The sequence below is a fragment of the Homo sapiens genome, chromosome 7 (genome assembly GCF_000001405.40).
Source record: "Homo sapiens chromosome 7, GRCh38.p14 Primary Assembly".
NCBI lineage: Eukaryota > Metazoa > Chordata > Mammalia > Primates > Hominidae > Homo > Homo sapiens.
This window is the reverse complement of record NC_000007.14, coordinates 35,839,266-35,860,918: the sequence shown is the minus strand read 5'-3', so window position 1 is coordinate 35,860,918 and position 21,653 is coordinate 35,839,266. Positions and strand designations below refer to the sequence as shown.

At 36.3% G+C, this 21,653-nt stretch overlaps 1 protein-coding gene and 1 pseudogene across 11 annotated transcripts in view; one reads left to right on the top strand and one right to left on the bottom strand.

Annotated features, from left to right (window-relative positions):
- Positions 1-21,653, bottom strand: part of SEPTIN7 (septin 7) — a 114,778-nt gene that overhangs the window by 54,845 nt on the left and 38,280 nt on the right. The gene's annotated exons all lie outside the window — the stretch shown is intronic.
- On the top strand, positions 13,493-14,019 carry LOC107986783 (gem-associated protein 7-like; annotated as a pseudogene).

Below are 21,653 nucleotides of genomic sequence, written 5' to 3'. Positions count from 1 at the left end.
AGAGATTACATGAAGGAAAAAACTTCCCAAAGGTGATGTAACTGATGAATCTACAAATCCAAGGATCTCAACAAACTCCAAATAAGAAAAACTCACAACCAATACCAACACGATTACAATCAAACTGTCAAAAGCCAAGACAGAATCTTGAAAGTGGCAAAAGAGAAGCAACTCACTGCATAGACAGAATCCTCAAATAAGACTATAAGCCAACTTTTTGGCAGAAACCTTGGAGGCCTGAAGGCAGTGCAATGATACATTTAAAGTGCTACAAGAAAATAAATGTCAAATGCAACTTCTGTATCTGGCAAAACTGACCATTAAAAACAAGGTAGAAATAAAGACATTCCCCAGTAAACAAAACCTGAGGGAGGTTCATTATCACTACACATGTACTACAAGAAATACTGAAGGTAGTCCTTCAGGTTGAAATAGAAGGACTCTAGACAGTAACTCAAAGCAATATAAAGATATAAAGATCCCGTAAAGGTAAATGCAAGGGCAAATATAAAAACCAGTATTATTATAATTTTGGTTTGCAAGTTCACCTTATATTTTCTATGAGTTTTTAAAGGCGAATGCATTAAAAAATCATGAATCTGTGTTAATAGGTACATAATGTATAATAATGTAATTTACGACATCAATAACATAAAAGAGGGACAGAGCAGTGGACGTGTAGTTGTTCAATGTGATTTAAGTTAGATTGGTATAAAAAATTGAGACTGTAATAACTTTAGGATATTATATATTATCCCTATAATAACCAAAGAAAATTTCTATAAAATATACCAAAAAAAAAAAGAGAAGGGAATCAAATTGTGTCACTACAAAAAATCAAGTAAACACAAACAAAGGCAGTAATGGAAGAAATGAAGGACAAAACAGCTAAAAGACATACAGAAAACAAAATGGCAAGTTAGTTCTTCCTTATAAGTATTTATATGTAAATTGATTAAACTCTCCCAATTAAAGGCACAGAATGTCATAATAGATAAAATGACATGACCCAACTGCGTATCTGTAAAAGACACATTGTAGATCTAAGAAAACACATAGGTTCAAAGTAAAAGGTTGGAAAAAGATACTTCATGCAAATAGTAACCAGAAAGGTAGAGAAGCCACACTAATATCAGACAAAATAGTCTCAAGTCAAAAACTATCATCAAAGACAAAGGACTTCAAATGTTGATAAATGGGTCACTTTGCCAAGATGATGTAACAATTAAAAACATACACCAAACATCAGAACTTTAAATTATGTAACGCAAAGATTGGTAGAATTAATGGGAGAAACAGACAGTTCTATAATAATAGTTGGAGACTTCAATACTCCAGTTTCAATAACGGACGGAACAACTAGACGGAAAATAAACAAGGAAATACAGGATATGAAGAAAACTGTAAATCAACTGAAGCTAACAGACATAGACAAAACACTGCATCCAACAACAGCAGTCTACACACTTTTCTCAAGGACATGTAAAACATTTTTCAGGAATGACTAAAAGAAACAAGTCTTAATAAATTTTAAAGAAGTGAAATCAAACAAAGCATTTTTTCCCATTATAATAAAACAAAACTAAAAATCAGTAATGGAGGGAAACTAGGAAAACTGACAAATATTTGGAAATCTAACAACATATTCTTATCAACCAATGAATCAAAGAAATCACAAGGGAAATTAGAATACACCCTGAGACAAAATAAAAATAAAAACCCAACATGCCGAAACTTACGGAATACAGAAAAAGCAGTGCTGAGAAGGAAATTTATAGTTGTAAACACTTATATAAAAATGAAGATTTTAAAAAAACAACCTATGTTTACACCATAAGGAACTAGAAAAAGAAGAGCAAACTAAACTCAAAGCTAGCAAAAACAAGAAAAAACAAAGATTAGAGCGGAGATAAATAAAAGAGATTTTAAGAATAGAAACGGCAGGGTGTGGTGGCTCACGCCTGTAATCCCAGCATTTTGGGAGGCTGAGGAGGGTAGATCACCTGAGGTCAGGAGTTCAAGACCAGCCTGACCAACATGGTAAAACCCCGTCTCTACTAAAAATACAAAATTAGCTGGGTGTGGTGGCGCATGCCTGTAATCTCAGCTACTTGGGAGGCTGAGGCAGGAGAATCGCTTGAACCCAGGAGGCGGAGGTTGCAGTGAGCCGAGATCGTGCATTGGCACTCCAGCCTGGGCAACAAGAGCGAAACTCTGTCTCAAAAAAAAAAAAAAAAGAAAAAGAAAACCAAAAGAATAGAAATCGGCCAGGTGCGGTGGCTCATGCCTGTAATCCCAGCACTTTGGGAAGCTGAGGTGGGCAGATCATGAGGTCAGGAGATTGAGATAATCCTGGCCAACAATGTGAAACCACGTCTCTACTAAAAATACAAAAATTAGTTGGGCGTGGCAGGGCATGCCTGTAATCCCAGCTACTCAGGAGGCTTAGGCAGGAGAATTGCTTGAATCTGGGAGGCGGAGGTTGCAGTGAGCCAAGATCGCACTACTGCACGCCAGCCTGGCGACAGAGCTAGACTCTGTCTCAAAAAAAGAACAGAAATCAGCAAAACCAATTGTTGGTTCTTCAAAAGAATAAACAAAACTGACAAACCATAAACTAGATTGAGAATAAAAGAGAGAGACTCAAATTACTAAAATCAGAAATAAAAGTGGGGGTTGGGCGTGGTGGCTAATGCCTGTAATCTCAGAATTTTGGGAGGCCGAGGCGGAGGGATCACTTCAGCTCAGGAGTTCAAGACAGGCCTGGGCAACATGGCAAAACCCTGTCTCTATTAAAAATACAAAAACATTACCCTGTCCCGGTGGCACATGCCTGGTAATCCCATCTACTCAGGAGGCTGAAGCAAGAGAACTGCCTGAACCAGGAGGAAGAGGCTGCAGTGAGCTGAGATGACACCACTGCACTCCAGCCAGGGTGACAGAGCAAGACTCTGTCCCAAAAAAAAAGAAATAAAAGTGGTTCATGGTTTTCCTAGTTAAGGACTAGACTATTTGCCACCACCCCACCCCCCTTTTTTTGAGTAACTTTCCTTTTTGGAAACAGTGATGAAGGTTTCTCCCTTTATTCTAAACAGTATGTACACCTCATACTACTATCTACTATCAAATTTCTAAATGGTTTCTGCTTTTTTAATACTCTTTAAAAATTAGCAAATACCTAATTATACTTTCAGTTAAGATAATACTTTTTCCCATTGGATTTTTTCTTTATCTTTTAAATTCTTAACATTGACTATGTGAAGCAATACGCTGTATACCCTGAACTCAGCTATGAGATATTTAACATATCAGGGGATACATAAATAATAAATTAACTTCCATCAATTCCTAGACTACTTAACACTGAAATTATGGACCAAAGCTTTCTAATTCAATTCCCAAGTGGCATTAAAACCAAGCTGTTTTGTATTTCAAGAAACTTTACCCATGGTTATGAAAGTTTAAAAACTTATCAAATGTGTGGGAAAACTGCAATTTAAAGATAAATGATTAGGTTTCCTTTTTTTTTAAGACCAATTACAATGTGAACCATAGCTACACTAACTGGGTGATCTCCATCAAAGTAAACACTGCAAATAAAGGGTATCATTTGGCCAAGAAAAAAATAATTTCTGATTCCAATTCAACATTGCTCCTGTGTAATGTGTTTCTCTAGTTCTCAACTCCACATTTATTCTTGAGTTATTTCTGTTAGTTGTAGTTTTCTTTTTAAGTTGGCTCTGGGCAAAGCAAATCTTTCTTAACAGATTGATAAGTGTTCAATTTCCTCAATTCTAAGACACAATTTTGCCCCCCCAATATTTCTAAAAACAAATGTCTCATAATCAAAATGTAATTGACTGTACTATTTACCTCCCTCAAATCAAATCTGATTATATGTTTCAGAGTAGATCTTATCTTAGAATCAAGGAAGGAGGAAAATCAAAACACTTCTTCCCCTAGAATCGAATTCAATTAGAAAAGCCAAATCAAAGAGACCTTAATTATTTTTTCCTATAATTGAGAACTTTATATTTAACTTTTAGAAGAATTTATTCTGAACTAAAGTGATTTCTATTTCCTTATAAATTGGAAGATCCCAAAGAAACAGAAAGCTTTAACACAAACCTCGATGAGAAATAAGGAAAGTAACCAAGACCATCTCCCCACCTTGAGGCTCATAAGGTGAAACAAAAGCTCCCCCTTGAGCTATATGCCACAGGGGAAATGATCCTCAAAGAGCCCAGTCTCATTCAGGGTAAGGAGGCAGAAAAAATGGGTACCAAAAAGTAGTTGAGAACTCAGTCTGCTTTTTCTGGTTCCATACATAAGGAGCTTGGAAGTCGCCACTCCATTCTAAGAAGTAAAAAGCTGAACAAATCTGATCTTTAAGAGCAGTGAGGACACAAGGCAATGATCCAGCAATTGCCCTTCTTGATGTTTACCCAGCTAAGTTAAAAACAAAGTCTTACACACAGGTATTTGCAGCAGCTTTATTTATAATTGCCAAGACGTGGAAGCAACCACAATGTCCTTCAGTAGTTGAATGGATAAATACACTGTGGTATATCCAGAAAATGGAATATCACTCAGCACCAAAAAGAAATCAGCTCCCAAACCATGAAAAGACAGAGACCAATGTACGCTGGTGAGCGAAAGAAGCCAATCTAAAAAGAATACATACTGTATAATTCCATTATTATAATTCTATAATTACAGTGAGCAAGATACTTGCATTTTCTGTTTTCTTACATATCAAATTAGTATAAGAGTATGAACTATGAGGACTAAATTAGGTAATATATGTGAAATCTAAGCACAGTGCCTGGTACACATTAAGTGCTCAATAAGTAGTTGTATTATTTCTGTGATTCATTTAAGGAAATTAGAAACACATGGAAGTTTGATATGACAGAAGAATATAAATAACAAAATGTTAAAAATACTTAAGGCAAAAACTTGGAAACAACAGCAAGTTAGCAAGTTCCACATTAAAAGACTAATAGGTCTTTTGGATATGGATAAATCAAGCGCTGAAAAAATAAAAATGATTTAAATAATATGCTTAATTGTCAAATATATATACACAAATTTCTACCCAGAGAATAAACACATTTTTGAAACCTATGGAATACTTAAATAAGCTAATCCTATGTAAGGCTACACAGAAAAATAAATCAATGCTGGAACCTACAGATCATATTCTCTGAATTCTCTGTAGTGAAATTAAAAATTAATAAAAAATAACACAATCCATCCACCTACTTAGATATCTCTCCTTAACTCTTCCTATGTGAAAATTACTCAAATACAAACAAAATGAGTATTACACATAAAAATCTAAGAGATCTGACTAAAGTATTTGGAGAAAAACTCATGCTTAAAATAAGCCTAAAGAAAGTAAGTCAACCATCAGGGGTGGTTCTTGGTGAAACTGTAAACTGCTACAGCTTTTCTGAAGAATAATTTGGTAATCTATCAAAATTTAAATCTACATGCCTTTTGACCCAGGATTTCACTTTCAGAAATGTACATTACAGAAGCATTTATATGTGTGCCTAGAAATCCAAGGAACCTAAGCACTGTTTGTAACTACGAACATCCATCTTCATTAATAGCTGACTGTATAAATCATGATAAAGATATTACAGAATACCACATAATTGCTAAGAATATACTGACAGGAATATTCAGTGTATATACACACACAGTATATTCAGTGATAGGGAAAACACATTCACAGAATAGTACTTATAGCATGGTACTGTTTACACACACAAAAAAAATTGACGTAGGAATGCCTGGTGTATATAAAAGTATAAAAAAATGCCAAAAGACTTGCACCAATTTAATGCTTATTTCTAGAGACAGGACTGGAAATGCAGGTGAGAGAAAAAAGGAAACTTGCTTTTTACTAAATATCTTTAGAATTTAGTTTTTAAAAAATAAAATGTATATTTTATAAGCTTTTCTTTCTTTGGGAAGCCAAGGGGAGGGTAATAATAAAAGTGAATATACCAACTTTGTAACAGTGTTTATTTCTAGATGGGAAAGGTTATGAAACATTTAAATTTTTCTTCTTTGTATATCAGTTTTTCTACAAGAACCATAAATTATATAATATTTAATTTTAACTTTTAATATTTAAAGGGGTTGATAATATGTTATACTACAAAGAAGTCAAGAATGCCTGAGAAGAGGCTACCTGCAAATATAGTGATTGGGAGTACTGGGATAAAAGTTAAGAGAAAAATGATTATTGAGTCCAGTAAGAGACTACAGAGTAAATGAGAGGCAGGCATCAGGCACAGGTTGCTGCAGATGCTGGCAACTACAGCTCCAGACAGCTGTACTACAGGAATTCTCAATCTTGGCACTACTGACATTTTGGGTTGGATAATTCTTTATTGTGAGGAGTGCCTTGTTCATTGAAGGATGCTTGGCAGCATCCCTGGCCTTTACCCATTAGAAGCCAGTTAGCATCCCTCCTCCCCAGCTGTGGCAACCAAAAATGCTTCCAGACGTTGAGAGATGTCCCCTGGGGGGCATTTTTCAAAATTTGAATCCCCAAATCCTCTAGCACTGATACCACTATGCATCAAAAATAATGACAGTGACAGCCAGTAAGTTATAAATTCTTCTGTGTGCCAGTATTTTACAAGCATTGACTTAGTTAACCTTTATAATACCATGAGATAGATGCTACAGGTTGTGTATCACTTATCCAAAATGCTTGGGACCAGAAGCGTGTTGGATTTGGGGCTTTTTCAAATTTTAGAATATTTGCATTGCTCATCAGTTCAGCATCCCTAATCTGAAAATCCAAAATCCAAAAACTGGTTCAATGAGCATTTCCTTTGAGCATCACGTCAGCACTCAAAGTTTCAAACTTTGGAGTATCTGAGATTTCAGATTTTTGGATTAGGGATACTCAATCTGCATCATTATCAATACCATTTTAAGGTGAAAAAACAGAAACAAAAGTGAAATAACTTACTAGTGCCAAAGAGTTAATAAGCAGTAATCAGTATTTGACACCAGGCAGTATGTTCTACTGCCTTTCTAAATACCCACTCTCATTTATCCATTAAAGACTCTGTGCCAAAATTCCCAACTACCTTCCAATCTGGTTAACCAGGTTGGACCATATCTGACATGGGATATTTTACCAGTATCTTCATTAACAATAACACTTAATATTTTTATTCAATAACTATAAGAAAGACATTGAGCTAGGCACTTTACATGCATTCAATGACTTCAATAATTACAAAACTCTACATAAGATTCTTTAAACAATTTTACAGCTAAGTAAATGAAACCTCTGAAAGTAACTTGCCAATGACAAATACCTCTACCAAGTAGCAGAGCTACAGCTCAATCTGAATGGCAAATCTCATGTCCTTAATCATACTATACTTCCCAGACTCTGAGCAGGCGAAAGGAACATGCTTCTTGACCTCTATGTCCTGACCCACTTCCCCCGCCCAGCCCCGAGGAGAGTCTCACTCTGTCGTGCAGGTTTAAGTGAGAGGCACAATCATGGCTTACTGCAATTTCTGCCTGCTGGGCTCAAGTGATCCTCCCACCTCAGCCTCCCGAGTAGCTGAGACTACAGGTGCATGCCACCACATCCAGCAAATATTTTTTTAAGAGATGAGGTCTCACTATGTTGCCCAGGCTGGTCTCAAACGCCTGGATTCAAGCAATCTTCCCACCTCGGCCTCCCAAAGGGCTGGGATTACATGCTTGAGCACCAGGGCCACTGCTTTTACTGCACTAACCACAATGAGCTTCAAATGGAAAAGTAAAGGATAAAGCAATTAAAAATTTAGAACAGGAAGAAGAGAGAAACTAAGTTCAACAGCCTTTAATCTTGTCATTAAAGGCTTGTCAAATCTTTAATTTGATACCCCTAGTATCAAATTCCACATCTGTCCTGAAACTAAATCATAACCTCTTTAGCAGGCTGAGAAAGATGGAAAAAAGAACATTTTACAAGATACAATAATAGATCTACGTCCTTTCAAGAATAACACTGATTCAGTGAATATTCTCCTAAAGTACTCAATCGAGTACCTCATACAAATGAGGTATTTGTAGGTTATTGTATTGACTCAAGTCAAGTACCTCATATAAATGAGGTATTTGTAGCTTATTGTATTGTCTTAATGATTCTATTATCGTGACACAGAGGTTACCAAAATGTCATTCAAATAAGCCTGATAAAATAGTTTATTTCCCATAAGCAAAGTCACCTTACTCAAATCATTGTGACTGGGAGCTCTAAAAACAAGCTATTTTGTAATGAGTGAGCAGTCCTTTTACTTGGTAGCAGAGTAAAATATAGCACCTGACAAATACAAAAATAGTTTGGTAATACTATTATTCTTCCCTGGAAATTTTTCCTAAGAAGTACCCTGAAGGTGTAAATTAAGTGTATTCCAAATTTTTCTGTGTTTCCTTAAGTATCACATACCCTTAATCCAAGTTATCTCATTTTTTTTTTTCAAAAGTACCAATAATTGTAAGAAAGTAGTTGTGTAACTTTGGAAAAGTCTAGGGGCAAAGGTTATAGTAGTCCATTAGAGCTTAAAATTTCCTTGAAATCTCTTATCTCAGTTCCATCAATAAACTTTTCTTGTGACCTTGGGCAAACCATACTTCTGTGTGTCAGTGCCCTCACCTATGAAATGCAGATAAAAGCAGTACCTACAACAACACAGAGTTGGTGTGAGGAATAAGTGATCTCATTAGAATCATACCTTGGCACAGTGGACACCTGAATATCAGTAATAGGTAGTTGCAATGAAATGTATTTTATTACTATTCACATTTTCTCACAGAAAAAGAAAGGACCCTAGTGCAACTACTAAGAATAAGGGTCAAAGGTGAAGTAGACAGCCTTAAGAAGGGAATAAACATTTGAAACAGGGATGCAGGGGGGTAAAGTAGAAGAGTAAGGTTGGCAATTTATTGACACTAAAGGGTACTGGCCTCAAAATAAGTAAAAAGGAATGTTGAAAGCAGTGAGGCTATGCCTGAGTTTGAACATTAATATTAATTTCTACTCACATTTAGTAGAGTAATATTTACTTCCATACCAAAATGTCAAGTGGCCTATAATTACAAGACAAAATATAGCAGCCTTGTCTAATAATCTCAAAGTGACTTATAACTACAATTGATCCTTGTTCATTGGCTTTACTAAAGGGAAGGAAGTAGTATCATTAATGCAAAACAATAGAGAACTATAATCAGTCCTATCAAATCAAACTCTACTTAAACACAAGATCTGTGGAAACAACCCAAATCAAGTGTACTTCTGCATTATTTAGAAAACATTTAAGAATAGAGTTCAGAATAATATATATACTGGCTTAAGAAAAAAATTACTCAAGATAAAAAGAATATCTGTAACATTTCATATTTCTTCAAACTAATATTTTAATAAATCCAAATAAATTTCTGAATGTTCCAAATTAATGCCTATTTTACATTTATTCTGACTTTGAAATGCATTATACATGTTTTGCAACAATGTCATTATCATTCCCTCATTTTACTGCAGTTTAAGGGGAAATAACTGGATTTTAAATTTTTTTGTCCTTATTAAAACAAAACATAATATTTACAATTTAAGGTGTTACTCTATGAAAATTAAGAAACAAGAGTAACTAGAGTCAGTAATACAACACATGTACTTCAACCTAATAAGCATGTTAAAATAACCCATGTCCTTCTTATCTTTGAGGACTTGTCCATGAAAGCCACATATTCTATCACTACTCAAGAATGTTAAATTTCAAGCCTAAAAATAAAACATTCATCACCTATTTGTTTATAAGGTTTTGAAGAAAGTCACAATAATATTTGTTTATAATAGCTAACGTCAGGTTTCTTCAGGTCTTTGGGATTGGGATCCCACAGTATTTATAATAAAAGAATCTGAGAAGTCCTGCTTTAAAGATGCTCGCTTATCTTTGTTTTACTCAGCATCTCAACTTCATATACATTTCTTATTAATCTCTAGATTTTCTGAGACTAAAGTAGTACCTGACATTTTATAAGTGATCATTAAATTTTTATCAAATAAATGAACGAGGAATGCAAAGATAAGATGTAGTCCTTGATCTTAAAAATCTTAGTATGCTACAAGAGGTAAGATATGCAAACAATGTACAAACAAGGCAGAATTTTATCAAAATCATGAATGAGATACCCCAAAGCGACAGAATTTCAGAAAACTGAGAAATCACACCAGCCTGGAAAGGAGGTCACATTTCAATGAGGCTTTGAAAGATGGAGTATCATTTCAATAAGCATTTCAACTTTCTGGGATATCTGTAGATTCAAGGAGCCACTTTTACCATTTTATAGCAATTGTATAGAAAAGAAAGCAAAGGATTTTTAGAAACAGAATCTTTAAGTCCTTTCAGAATGTTTTACCATGTTAGAGTAGAGGCAAGAGGAAAGCCTGAGAGGAGCTGGTGATCACACTGTGGAGCTTTTCTACCTTGTTCCTCTAACTCCTTCCTTCATTTTTCTCCTGGGTTTTGAAATCAATTTTGTTCAAATTCAAATCCTAGTTCAATCACCTACAAGTATATGACCTTGATCAAGATACCTACTTTATTAATTAAATGCACAGGGCTTGACATTTTAAAAAGCACCTCAAATGAAACCTATTAAGAGGTGAGACAGCAACAAACTATAGTTCTTAACCAAAATACATATTAGTGTCATCTCAGGAGGTATTTCAAAATAGATGATCATATTCCATCCTAGACCCAAAGCCCAGAATATCTAGGCAAGTGTTTCCAAGAATACTTTGAAGAAGCTTCCCAAATGATTTGAAAGGTAGATGAAATTAAGAAATTCTTATGTTCATGTTGTCCTGTCCCTAAAAAGAAAATTAAGAAATTCTAGTAAATAAGGATGACATAGGGCAATATGCCAGATTACATTAACATTTAAAGATGGCCCCACAGGAAAGGATCCTAATAAAGCAGGCTTCAACACAACCAGGTAAACCAGGAGGCAATATCACAAAAAGTGAGGAAGAGTTTCAAGGAAAAAATGGTCAGTAATGCCAAATAAGTTAAAGAAAAAGACAACCAGAAGGCCTTTTACTGATCTTTAATAAAAGTAGTTTTGTGTTAAGGAGAGAAGCCAAATGGTGAGAAATTAAGTACTGGATGGGAAATTTAAAAGTAGAGGTTTATTTTTTCTTTACATCTGGCTGTAAAATGAAGAAAAGATACCACACCAAGATGTTTTGCCAAGGGAGGGCGCTATTCTTTGTTTTACTTTTTAATAAACTTAATCTGGTAAAGATTTAATCTGTGAAGAACAATCTAGACCAGGCATCCCCAACCCACAGTCCGTGGCCTGTTAGGAACCAGGCCACACAGCAGGAGGTGAGTGGTAGTGAACACTACTGCCAGAGCTCCGCCTCCTGTCAGACCAGCGGCAGCATCAGATTCTCAAAGGAATGCAAGCCCTATTGCACACTGCACATGTGAGGGATCTAGGTTGCGTCCTCCTTATAAGAATATAATGCCTGATGATCAGTTTCATCCCGAAACCATCCTGCTCCCCTCCCACACACACACACCCTGGCAGAAAAATTGTCTTCCACGAAACCAGTCCCTGGTGCCAAAAAAACTGGGAGCCACTGGTCTAGACTACATTAGATACATTCCATACATATGTTGATCTGGAATTTACTATAAGACAATTCCATTTCCACAAAATCTATTAGGGTATCCTTTAACATACACACTGATGTACATGCTAATACTAAAAGGCAAGCTAAACAAGCTCTATATAACCTGGCCCTGCAATTATCTTAAAAGAAGTTTACTTATTCTAATTACTGTAATTACACCAGTACTAAGAACTAACAATTCTGCTGGATAGCTAGTAGCAAACATTCCAACCAGCTACTCAATAATTACCTCATTTGCCAATTCAAACAGCTTTCACTTGCTACACGTCTGAGGCTGGGAGGCGCTAAGAGGTATGTTAGGATCTTTCTTGCTATACTCAGAAATAGAAGCATTCTTTATACAACCCAGTTCAAGTGGACAATTACATTTTTAAATCATCATGTTACCAGAGAAATCCTTACTGCCTACTCAGAACATTTTCTTCATGATTATTTAGAAAATGATTATCCCAATTTTGTAGTAAAAGATACTGCCTGACCTAGGTTAGGTTAGGGTCTGCAAAGTTTCATAAGATATATACCAAATTTCTGTAAGTTCTTTTGCTAAACTGAAAACAGTTGAAATTGACGGTTTAAATACAGTCTATGAGCTGTCCCTCAATGCTCCTCTAAATTCTTCCCATTACCTGAAATTCTAATTGATCATTCAATACACATTCCTCCTTAAAAATGGGTGGATCACGAGGTCAGGAGATCAAGACCATCCTGGCTAACATGCTGAAACCCCGTCTCTACTAAAAAAAAACCAAAAAATTAGCTGGGCATGGTGGTGGGCGCCTGTGGTCCCAGCTACTCGGGAGGCTGAGGCAGGAGAATGGCGTGAACCCGGGAGGCGGAGCTTGCAGTGAGCCGAGATCACACCACTGTACTCCAGCCTGGGCGACAGAGCGAGACTCCATCTCAAAAAAAAAATCAAGTATTCTTGTGAATACTATTAGTCTTTCAGATCCTGGAATAAGACTTTCCCTCTAATTTCTATTTTGGGCCAGCATTAATTAAGAAAATAAGAGTTTTAATTTGGAAGAAAATAGAGCTAGTTTTGAGTTACACGAATCAGAAAAAGTAGATTTTGCAGAAACACAGCAAAGGGCTCTACAAAAGTAGAGGGCAACTTACAGCTGGCCACGTGGCATGCTGGAGTGTAAGTAAAGGAGAAATATCAGGAAAACAGATATTATTTTACCTGGATATCTAATGGATAGAAGACGGGAAGCAAGGTGTTGATTTATTCTTCATCAGGTAGCATGTTCTATACAGTGGTTCTAAGAAGTAGCTTTCAAAGCAGAAGTGGGTAGTTTTTAACTCTTTGAATTAGATAACCTATAGATTCTTTTAAGTTCTTACTTTTTATAAATCTCATATACCAAAACGTATCCCCTAAGGACCAGGGATGAAGTATTTGAATCATACCATGATTATGTGAATTATATCTCACTATATTTCTTTAAAAATAAAAGAGTACTGTACTCATTTATTTTTAAGTTACAACATTCACAAGAAATATAACAATGAAATTGTCATTAGTGGTGTGACTATACTTAATAAAAAGCTAGGCAAAAAAAGTTTCAAAAAGAAGACTTTTGACATTAAAAAAGTTGCAAGTACAAAATTTCCAAATAAAGAACAGTACTTTTTTAAAAATTTCAAATAAATAATCAAAGGCAAGTAAAATAAAATGTAAAACCTCTAATACCAAATTAGCAAATACCAAATTTGACATTTAAAAGAGATTTCCGAGCAGCTGTGGACCTCACCAAGACAATGCAGACTCCACTGACTATTCCTGTGCCTGTGTTCCAGTTACCCGGGGGCCCTGATGGCTTCAGCCATGGCATTGCCCCTGATGGATGCTGGGGCCCTTGAAGCCAGAGGTTCCTGAAATCCAAGAGTGGTCCCATAGTTCAAGAATCGCAGGAATCCCTGGAGCAGTGGGCTCGAGCTGCCCTTCGGGAATGTTACCTCTGCAGCATGCTGGCTACAGTGCGTCGACAGGTGAGCTTCACACTGCACGACTGTGTGCACAAGGCTGCCCACTTCGGAGCCACCAATCTGGACACGGCCAACTTCTATGTGTCACAGCTGCAGACTCCCGTAAGTGTGCAGAGACACTGCTCTAATGTAGTGACATTATTTCACATACCTTCAAGCCTGAGCAGCTGGAGCACTGGCATGGGAATAGTCAGTGGAATCTGCATGGTCTTGGCGAGGTCTGCAGCTGCTCAGAAATCTCCTTTAAATGTCAAATTTGGTATCTGCTAATAAAGATCTGTGTTCACCTTTCTGCTTGAGTCTAAGCCACAGTATCCCAGGCCTCCCAGTGTTCCCAAGCCAGGAACTCTGGGCCTCATGGAGTTATGGGCCCCCTTGGAATTCTGAGCCAAGCTCCAAGCAACTCTGGACTCCTGAGACCTCCTGGGTCTAATCAGTAGAATTTTGCAACTCTAGGAATTCTAGGTCCCATTGGAAGGAATGCTCTACCTCACAGAACTCTGAACTCTCCAGATACAGGCCTGATGCCATTTCCTAAAGTCTGAGGCTTGGGGGTGGGGTAATACAGGTGGGCAAATTACAGAGTGGGAAGTTATGGGAAGTTATTTATTGAAGACACTGCAAAGTTGAGCCATCCTGAAGACACTCTCAAATGCTTCCCTCGTGCTAAAGAACCAACTTCTCCAGGAAAATAAAAGAGATTTCCACTCAATATTGGCAAGGATGAGACACATATGAGCATTCACACACCTATAGAAACTGTATTAGTTGGTACGACATTTTCAGTTAACATCCTTTACCATGCCATTTACTTCTAGGAATGAAACACACAGAGAAAAACACTGCAATAATATTTTAACAATAAAAAAAGTGTGTGTGTGGTGGCAGAGGGAGACCTTCCAGGTCCAACAATGGGAGGCAGGCTAAGCGTATTATGATACACCTATAAAAATATTATTCAGCCATTGAAAATTAGCTTTTAAAAATCTGACATAGAGAAATGCTTGCCACAGCATTAGATGAAGAAAGTATACAAAATAAATATGGTATTACAGCTATGCCTAAGATGCAGAAAAATAACAAAATTTAACAATGGTGATGTCCTCTCTCTTAAAATGCCATATACTTCCTTCATATTACTTTTCTAATCAAAAACCATTTTGTAACAAGTCCTAGTTTTTATAGGAAGAAAATTTCAAGCCATATATCTGAATATCTGTTATATCAAAAAAAAAACAGGAGTTATCTAAATATCCAACCACATTTCAAACAAATATATAATTCATGTTGATTCAACAACAAAGGCAAACATCCACATATATAAAATCAGGTCCAAAATCTCAAAGTAAAACTTTTTTTAAAGTTTATTAACTTTAAAAAAAATCAATTCCTAAGAGTCTTCCTATCACTAACATTAAATACCTGACACAGTCCAGGGAAAACAAGATACTCGAAAGGTTTGCAAGGGGTAGCATTAATATTCAGCAACCATAAAGCAAGTGCACCCTTCAGACTAAATAGTCATATCACATAAAAAACTTGAGCACGATATTTACCTGCACAGAATAGACAGGTAAAAAGTCATATTGTGTTTTTAAGAATCTAAGCTACTCAGCTAAACCATGTTTTAAGAAGGAAAAGAATAAATTCTCAACCATCTTTTAAATCTGACTCTCACCAGAAAACAGCTTTGCCCAGCAATCTATACTGAATTACAAAGAGCACACATTTGCCCCGAATGTTTATAATCAAAAGAGTTCAACCAAAACAGAAGTACAAAGTAAGGATTAATCAAATATTTAGCTTATTAACTGCATATCATTGTCTACCATCCCTGCTTTCCCTTTTCTTCATTCCTCGTTTTGGATCTTAAAACTAAGTCATGAAAATGCACGAATAAAAATATGTTTAAAATTAACATTTATTCAATTTACAGATGTACTAGGTATTTTACATATATAATATATATATGTAGTACACTCATATACACAATTATCTCAAGCCCTCTGTGAGGCAGGGGTGGTCACTCACAGTACACAGCATTCCTGTGTAAGTATCTCCACTCTACCACCATCCTACACCCACAAGTTCTTAAGGAACCCTACCACAGCTCTTTTATTTTTATTTTTTATATTTTTTTAGAAATGGGGTCTCACTCTGTTGCCCAGGGTCGTCTCGAACCCCTAGGCTCAAGCAATCCTCCTACCTGGGCCTTCCAAAGTGCTGGGATTACACACATCAATGAGCCTGGCCTTCGTTTACTTTTTGTAATCACAACACAATGCTTGGATTAGAAAAGACAAGGTAAGGTTTGGAGCAATGGCTCATACCTGTAATCCCAGCTAAGGTGGGTGGATCACTTGTAGTCAGGAGTTGGAAATCAGCCTGGCCAACATGGTGAAATCCTGTCTTTACTAAAAATACAAAAATTAGCCTGGTGTGGTGGTGCACGCCTGTAGTCCCAGCTACTCGGGAGGCTGAGGCAGGAGAAGACTGCTTGAACCCAGGGGAACGGAGGTTGCAGTGAGCCGAGATCACGCCATTGCACTCTAGCCTGGGCAACAGAGTGAGACTCCGTCTCAAAAAAAAAAGACTAGGTAAATATTTGTTGTGAAAAGGAAAGTGAGATTCAAAGTGATCTGTCCAGGGTCATACAGCTTGTCTGTGACAGAAATTGAAGTTTTAAACTGGACTAAGTATGATATTCTTTTCAGTGTAACAGCTGCTGCACTTTTACAAAGTAGATATAAAGTTAAATACAGAAGGCTTATTTTCATGGTGTGACAAAAACATAAGTCAAAAACATGAATAAAATTTTACAAAATTGCCAAAATAAATTGTAAATTCCAAATTTAAACACAATAGTGAGTTACTAGTTTCAAGATTCTAATCGATCCTATCAGACTAATAAAGTTACCACATAAATCTAAATAAAAACTCCTGACTACATGGCACTTTAAATGTACATTACTATAACCTTTATTCAACTAAATGTAATTAGTAGTGTGCATTTCCCTGGAAATTCCTTTGAGGGTAGAAGTAATCATTTTCATTTTCATGTCATCCGCTTCATCAGTAATTCTTAGCACTTACACTGCTGATGTACATAAACTTAATTACTAATCATTCAATTAAAATTTACCCTCTGAACCAGGACAAGCATGCTATGAAAGAGCTCATCCTTTATGTTATTGCTGTAATTATTTCCATCTGTAACATAATAAACAATTTATAGCCTTTGATCATTAAAAACTTGAGTTAAGAATGAACTCTTCACAATCAAATCTTCACATTTGATTCTTTGATATGCATAATTACCTTGTATTTATCATCTGCTTACTTAGGGTTCTGGGCAGTACAAGAAACAGAAGCCCCAAAGTCTAAAACTTTCTTCCTTCTAAATATCAGCCTATTTGTTTCAACTGTTAGTAAATTTGGGGGACATGCTACTTTATCAAAATATATGTAAATATTATAACTCTGCAACACTTGTAGGCATATGCAGATAATTTTAATTTCCCAGCTAAATTTTTCCAGAGCTTTTTATCTCCACCATTTTTTTCTATGGCAGTCCAAAATAACAATTTTACTAATTTTTCTACATTTTTAGGCATCGAAAAAACTATTCTATTCACATACCAATTAATTCTATAATACAGTCAAATACTGGCTTTTGAACACTTCAAAATTATTTCAGCTCTATCTTTTCCATATTTCTTCCTAAAAATTCAGTCCAAAAGTCATTACGTGAGACTGACAGAGGTAGGTGTCCATGCTGGAGAGAAATCCACAGTGGCCCAGAACAGGGTATTAGGGTATTAGAGCCTACGGAATGAGGAAAAGTTTCTAATAGAGCATACGAATGGACTAGCATGAGATGTCTGAGTTAAATAGGATGAGGGGGCATCCACATGAGAAGAATGGCCTTGCATAAGACATCACAGCACAAGAGAGGTAAGCAGGGCCACTGCCTCCCCCTTAATTACACTAATCCCCCTGCAATTAACTAATCCATTACCTCCCTCTGGTTCTTCCCTAATATTTTTCAGAGAAGAAAGGGAAGAACCTGAAGGAGGTGATGGATTAATTACAGGGGGATTGATCAAATAAGTACACATATGGAAGATAATGGTATTTTCACCATCAGAGGACAATACAAATATGGGAGAGATGAAAATTAGGACCCCTACAGTGATGGAATGAAATTGGAGATTTAAGTGTGCACTTATATTTTTCAATACATACATACACACACACATATATATATAAATGTGTGTGTCTGTGTGTGTATAACATACACTTGTTACTTTCTGATTTTGATGGTATATTATGGCTATATAGCAGAATATCCTTGAGGAAGAGAGATATACTAAAGTATTTAGGGGGACAAAAGAGAAGCATCCATCTCAAATATCCTAGGAAAAAAGTTATGTACTGTACTTGTAACTTTTGTTTAGAATTGTTTCAAAATTTAAAATTAACACATTATTTTCAGCACAGTAATCATGTGCAGTAAATAATGACGTACACTTCTAATTATATAAAATACTTTGTACCTATAATTTTCAGTATTTTAGGTAGATGACCTTTTTGAGATTCTAAACATGCAATCTGTCTCCAGAATATAAAGACATGATAAAAATCTCAATTATATTTCAGAAAGTTTGGCAAGTCAGTGAACCCATTCAGCATTCCCCTTCCCTGCTAAAAATTTGATCCACAGCCTTCAGTACCTTAGCCACTGCTTTAAATGGCTATATACTCCTATATAGTAAAACAGACCAAAAAACCCCAAGACCTAGATATAAATACATGAAAATTATTACTTAAAATGAGGGTTTTTTTTTTTTCAAAAACAAAGTTTGAGTAAAATTAACAAGGTTGGCAAATTTACCACTACAAAGGTCTTTCATGGGAGACAGGTTATACCTTTCCAATCTTTAAAATAATTCTAAGGTTCTGTAGTTCAATAGTGAAACAAGTACAATATCCTGGCATAAAACTATCTTTCAGACAAAATCCACCTGCTGTGTATTAAAAAATGTAATACTTGAAAACTTCCTGCCTTGGGAGAGACTAAACCCGATTCATAATACAAAAAACACTCAATCTACAAATGCTTTCAACAGAAAGATGGACTAAATATAAAGGGGGAAATTCTGACCTCCTTTGGTGCTAGACTGTAGTCATAGCTAAGCAGAAGGTGATATTATTATCTCATATTTAAAATTACATTTCAGACTTATGTGATACAGTCACCTAAGAAAACGATGGACCCACCTGACCCACAATAGTATTTGGCCTCCATGACCTAGACTAGGAAAGATTTAGAAATTACCCATTATGGAGAAAGAAAGAGCAGTCTTCCTTGCCAAGATGAAAACTACATACTAAATGAGTCTTCTATGTGAGAATTACATTTCTATCTGTAAAGAAGTTACACTAACATGTGCTCCCTTCATGTCCTTGCCTTCCGTTCAGTACTGAGTTCTTTTAAAATACTGACAGACTATGCGGCCTTCATATTTCTGTCCCAACATCTAGCTAATTAAAATTAACAAATGTGATACCATTTTTACTTCAGTCCACCTATCCAATCAATCTTGAGTGTATTCAATACCAAGAGAACAGTTTCTCTAGGTCTGACAAACATGACCATCCTTAACTAATTCAGCCTATATACTATGAAGTTTATCTTAGGCCTCTCGGTCTGTCAAAAGAAAGGATAGCTGTGTTTTTCGACACTGGAGTTTCTTGTATTATTTTCAAAGACCATATTAGGATAGTATATGTATGAGAAGCAAAAACAGATTAAGAATCATAATTCAATGACTTGCTTATATTTTTAAAATCACACTGATGACTTTTTAAAAGACTGCTAAATGAAACTGGGATATTATCAAGATTACATTTCTTACATATGTCAATCCAGATAGTGCTCTTGTTACAGAACCACATTTTTTTTTTTACGTTTGAGACAGAATCTCACTCACTCTGTCGCCCAAGCTGAAGTGTAGTGGCACGATCTCGGCTCACTGCAACCCCTGCCTCCCGGGTTCAAGCAATTCTCCTGCCTCAGCCTCCTGAGTAGCTAGGATTACAGGTGCACACCGCTACATCTGGCTAATAGACTGCAATCTGTAAGACTGATTTTCCAAGTATTTTTCCTAACTACACTGTTCCATGATTAAGACACTGGATTTAAGCCATTAATTCAGATTAAGAATTAAGCAAACAAAACATGAATATACGAATTACTGAAAAAAAGTACCATTTTTTCTCAAGAATTAGTAAATGATTAAGATAATGGCATGCTTTTTAGCTGTAAAGTCTCCTTTCTCTAAACTTCCATAACATTTGGTTTACACATTTCTTATGCCACTTAACACATTATGATTCATGGTATAGTTATGTGTATACTGTTTTCCTCCTCTACTATTATAGTGTATTCATGTACCTTTAAAATCCCTCTCAAGCATCTAAAACAGTCATAACATCCATGGAATGAATAGCCTAACCTTCAAATACACCATAAATCTCTTCAAATTCAGAAAAAAAAAATTTCCTTTTTTCTTAATATATAATCTTTAGTAGCATAAACTTTTAAAAAACAATTTTGCTGGCCAGGCATGATGACTCACACCTGTAATCCCAGCACTCTAGGAAGCCAAGGAGAGAGGACTGCTTTAGGCCAGGAGTTCAAGGTTAGCCTGGGCAACACAGTGAGACCCCATCTCTACAAAACAAATTTTGTTTTATTTTTATTTTTTTAATTAGCTGGGCATAGTGGTGTGTGCCTGTAGTCCCAGGTACTTGGGAGGCTGAGGTGGGACGATCACTTGAGTCCAGGGGCTCAAGGCTGCAGGGAGCTCTGATTATACCACTGGGCTCCAGCTTGGGCACCAGAACAAGACCTTGTTTCAAAAAGAAAAGAAGAAAAGGGAAGGGGAAGGGGAAGGGGAGGGGAAAGGGGGGAAGGGGGGAGGGGAAAGGGGGGAGGGGGAAGGGGGAGGAGGAGGGGGAGGGAGGAGGAAGGATGGGGGAAGGGGGAAGGAGGAAGGGGGAAGGGGAAAAAGGGAAGGTAAAAAAAGAAAAAGGAAAAGGGAAAGAAAAGAAAGGAACAATTTGCCAGTATGTGCCAAGAGCCACAAAATGTTCAAATACTTTGATCTAATAATCCTACTTCAGGAATTATTAACAAATAAATAAAAATGATACTGCCCTCTGTCTGCCAACATACATATAACAAAACTCTGTGTGTTTAAAGATCTTCATTGCCATGCTATTTGTAACAAGGGTAGGGGTAAAAACAAACCTAGTGTCCATCAGTAAAAAAATAAATTACAGGTCAGGCGCAATGGCTCACGCCTGTAATCCCAGCATTTTGGGAGGCCGAGGCAAGTGGATCACAAGGTCAGGAGTTCAAGACCAGCCTGGCCAAGATGGTGAAACCCCATCTCTACTAAAAATACAAAAATTAGCTGAGCGTGATGGTGGCAGGCGCCTATAATCCCAGCTACTGGGGAGGCTGAGGCAGAGAATTGCTTGAACCTGGGAGGTGGAGGTTGCAGTGAGCCGAGATAGCGCACTGTACTCCAGCCTGGTCAACAGAGCAAGACTCTGTCTCAAAAATAACATAACATAACATAACATAACATAACATAACATAACATAAATTACAAAAATTATAGCATATTCCATCTCAGATTAGAATACACATATAGCCATTAAGCATTATCGTTAAAATGTTGACCAAAATTTCCATTCTGTAAAATTTTTATTGCAGCATTATTATGAGATTAAACAAAACAAATCATTCAAATGTCAAATGATGAAGCAATGGTAAAATATCAGATAGCCACAGCTGGAAACATTACACAGTGGTCAAAGTAAAATATGGAAGATAAACACAGCATATATTAATGATTATTAT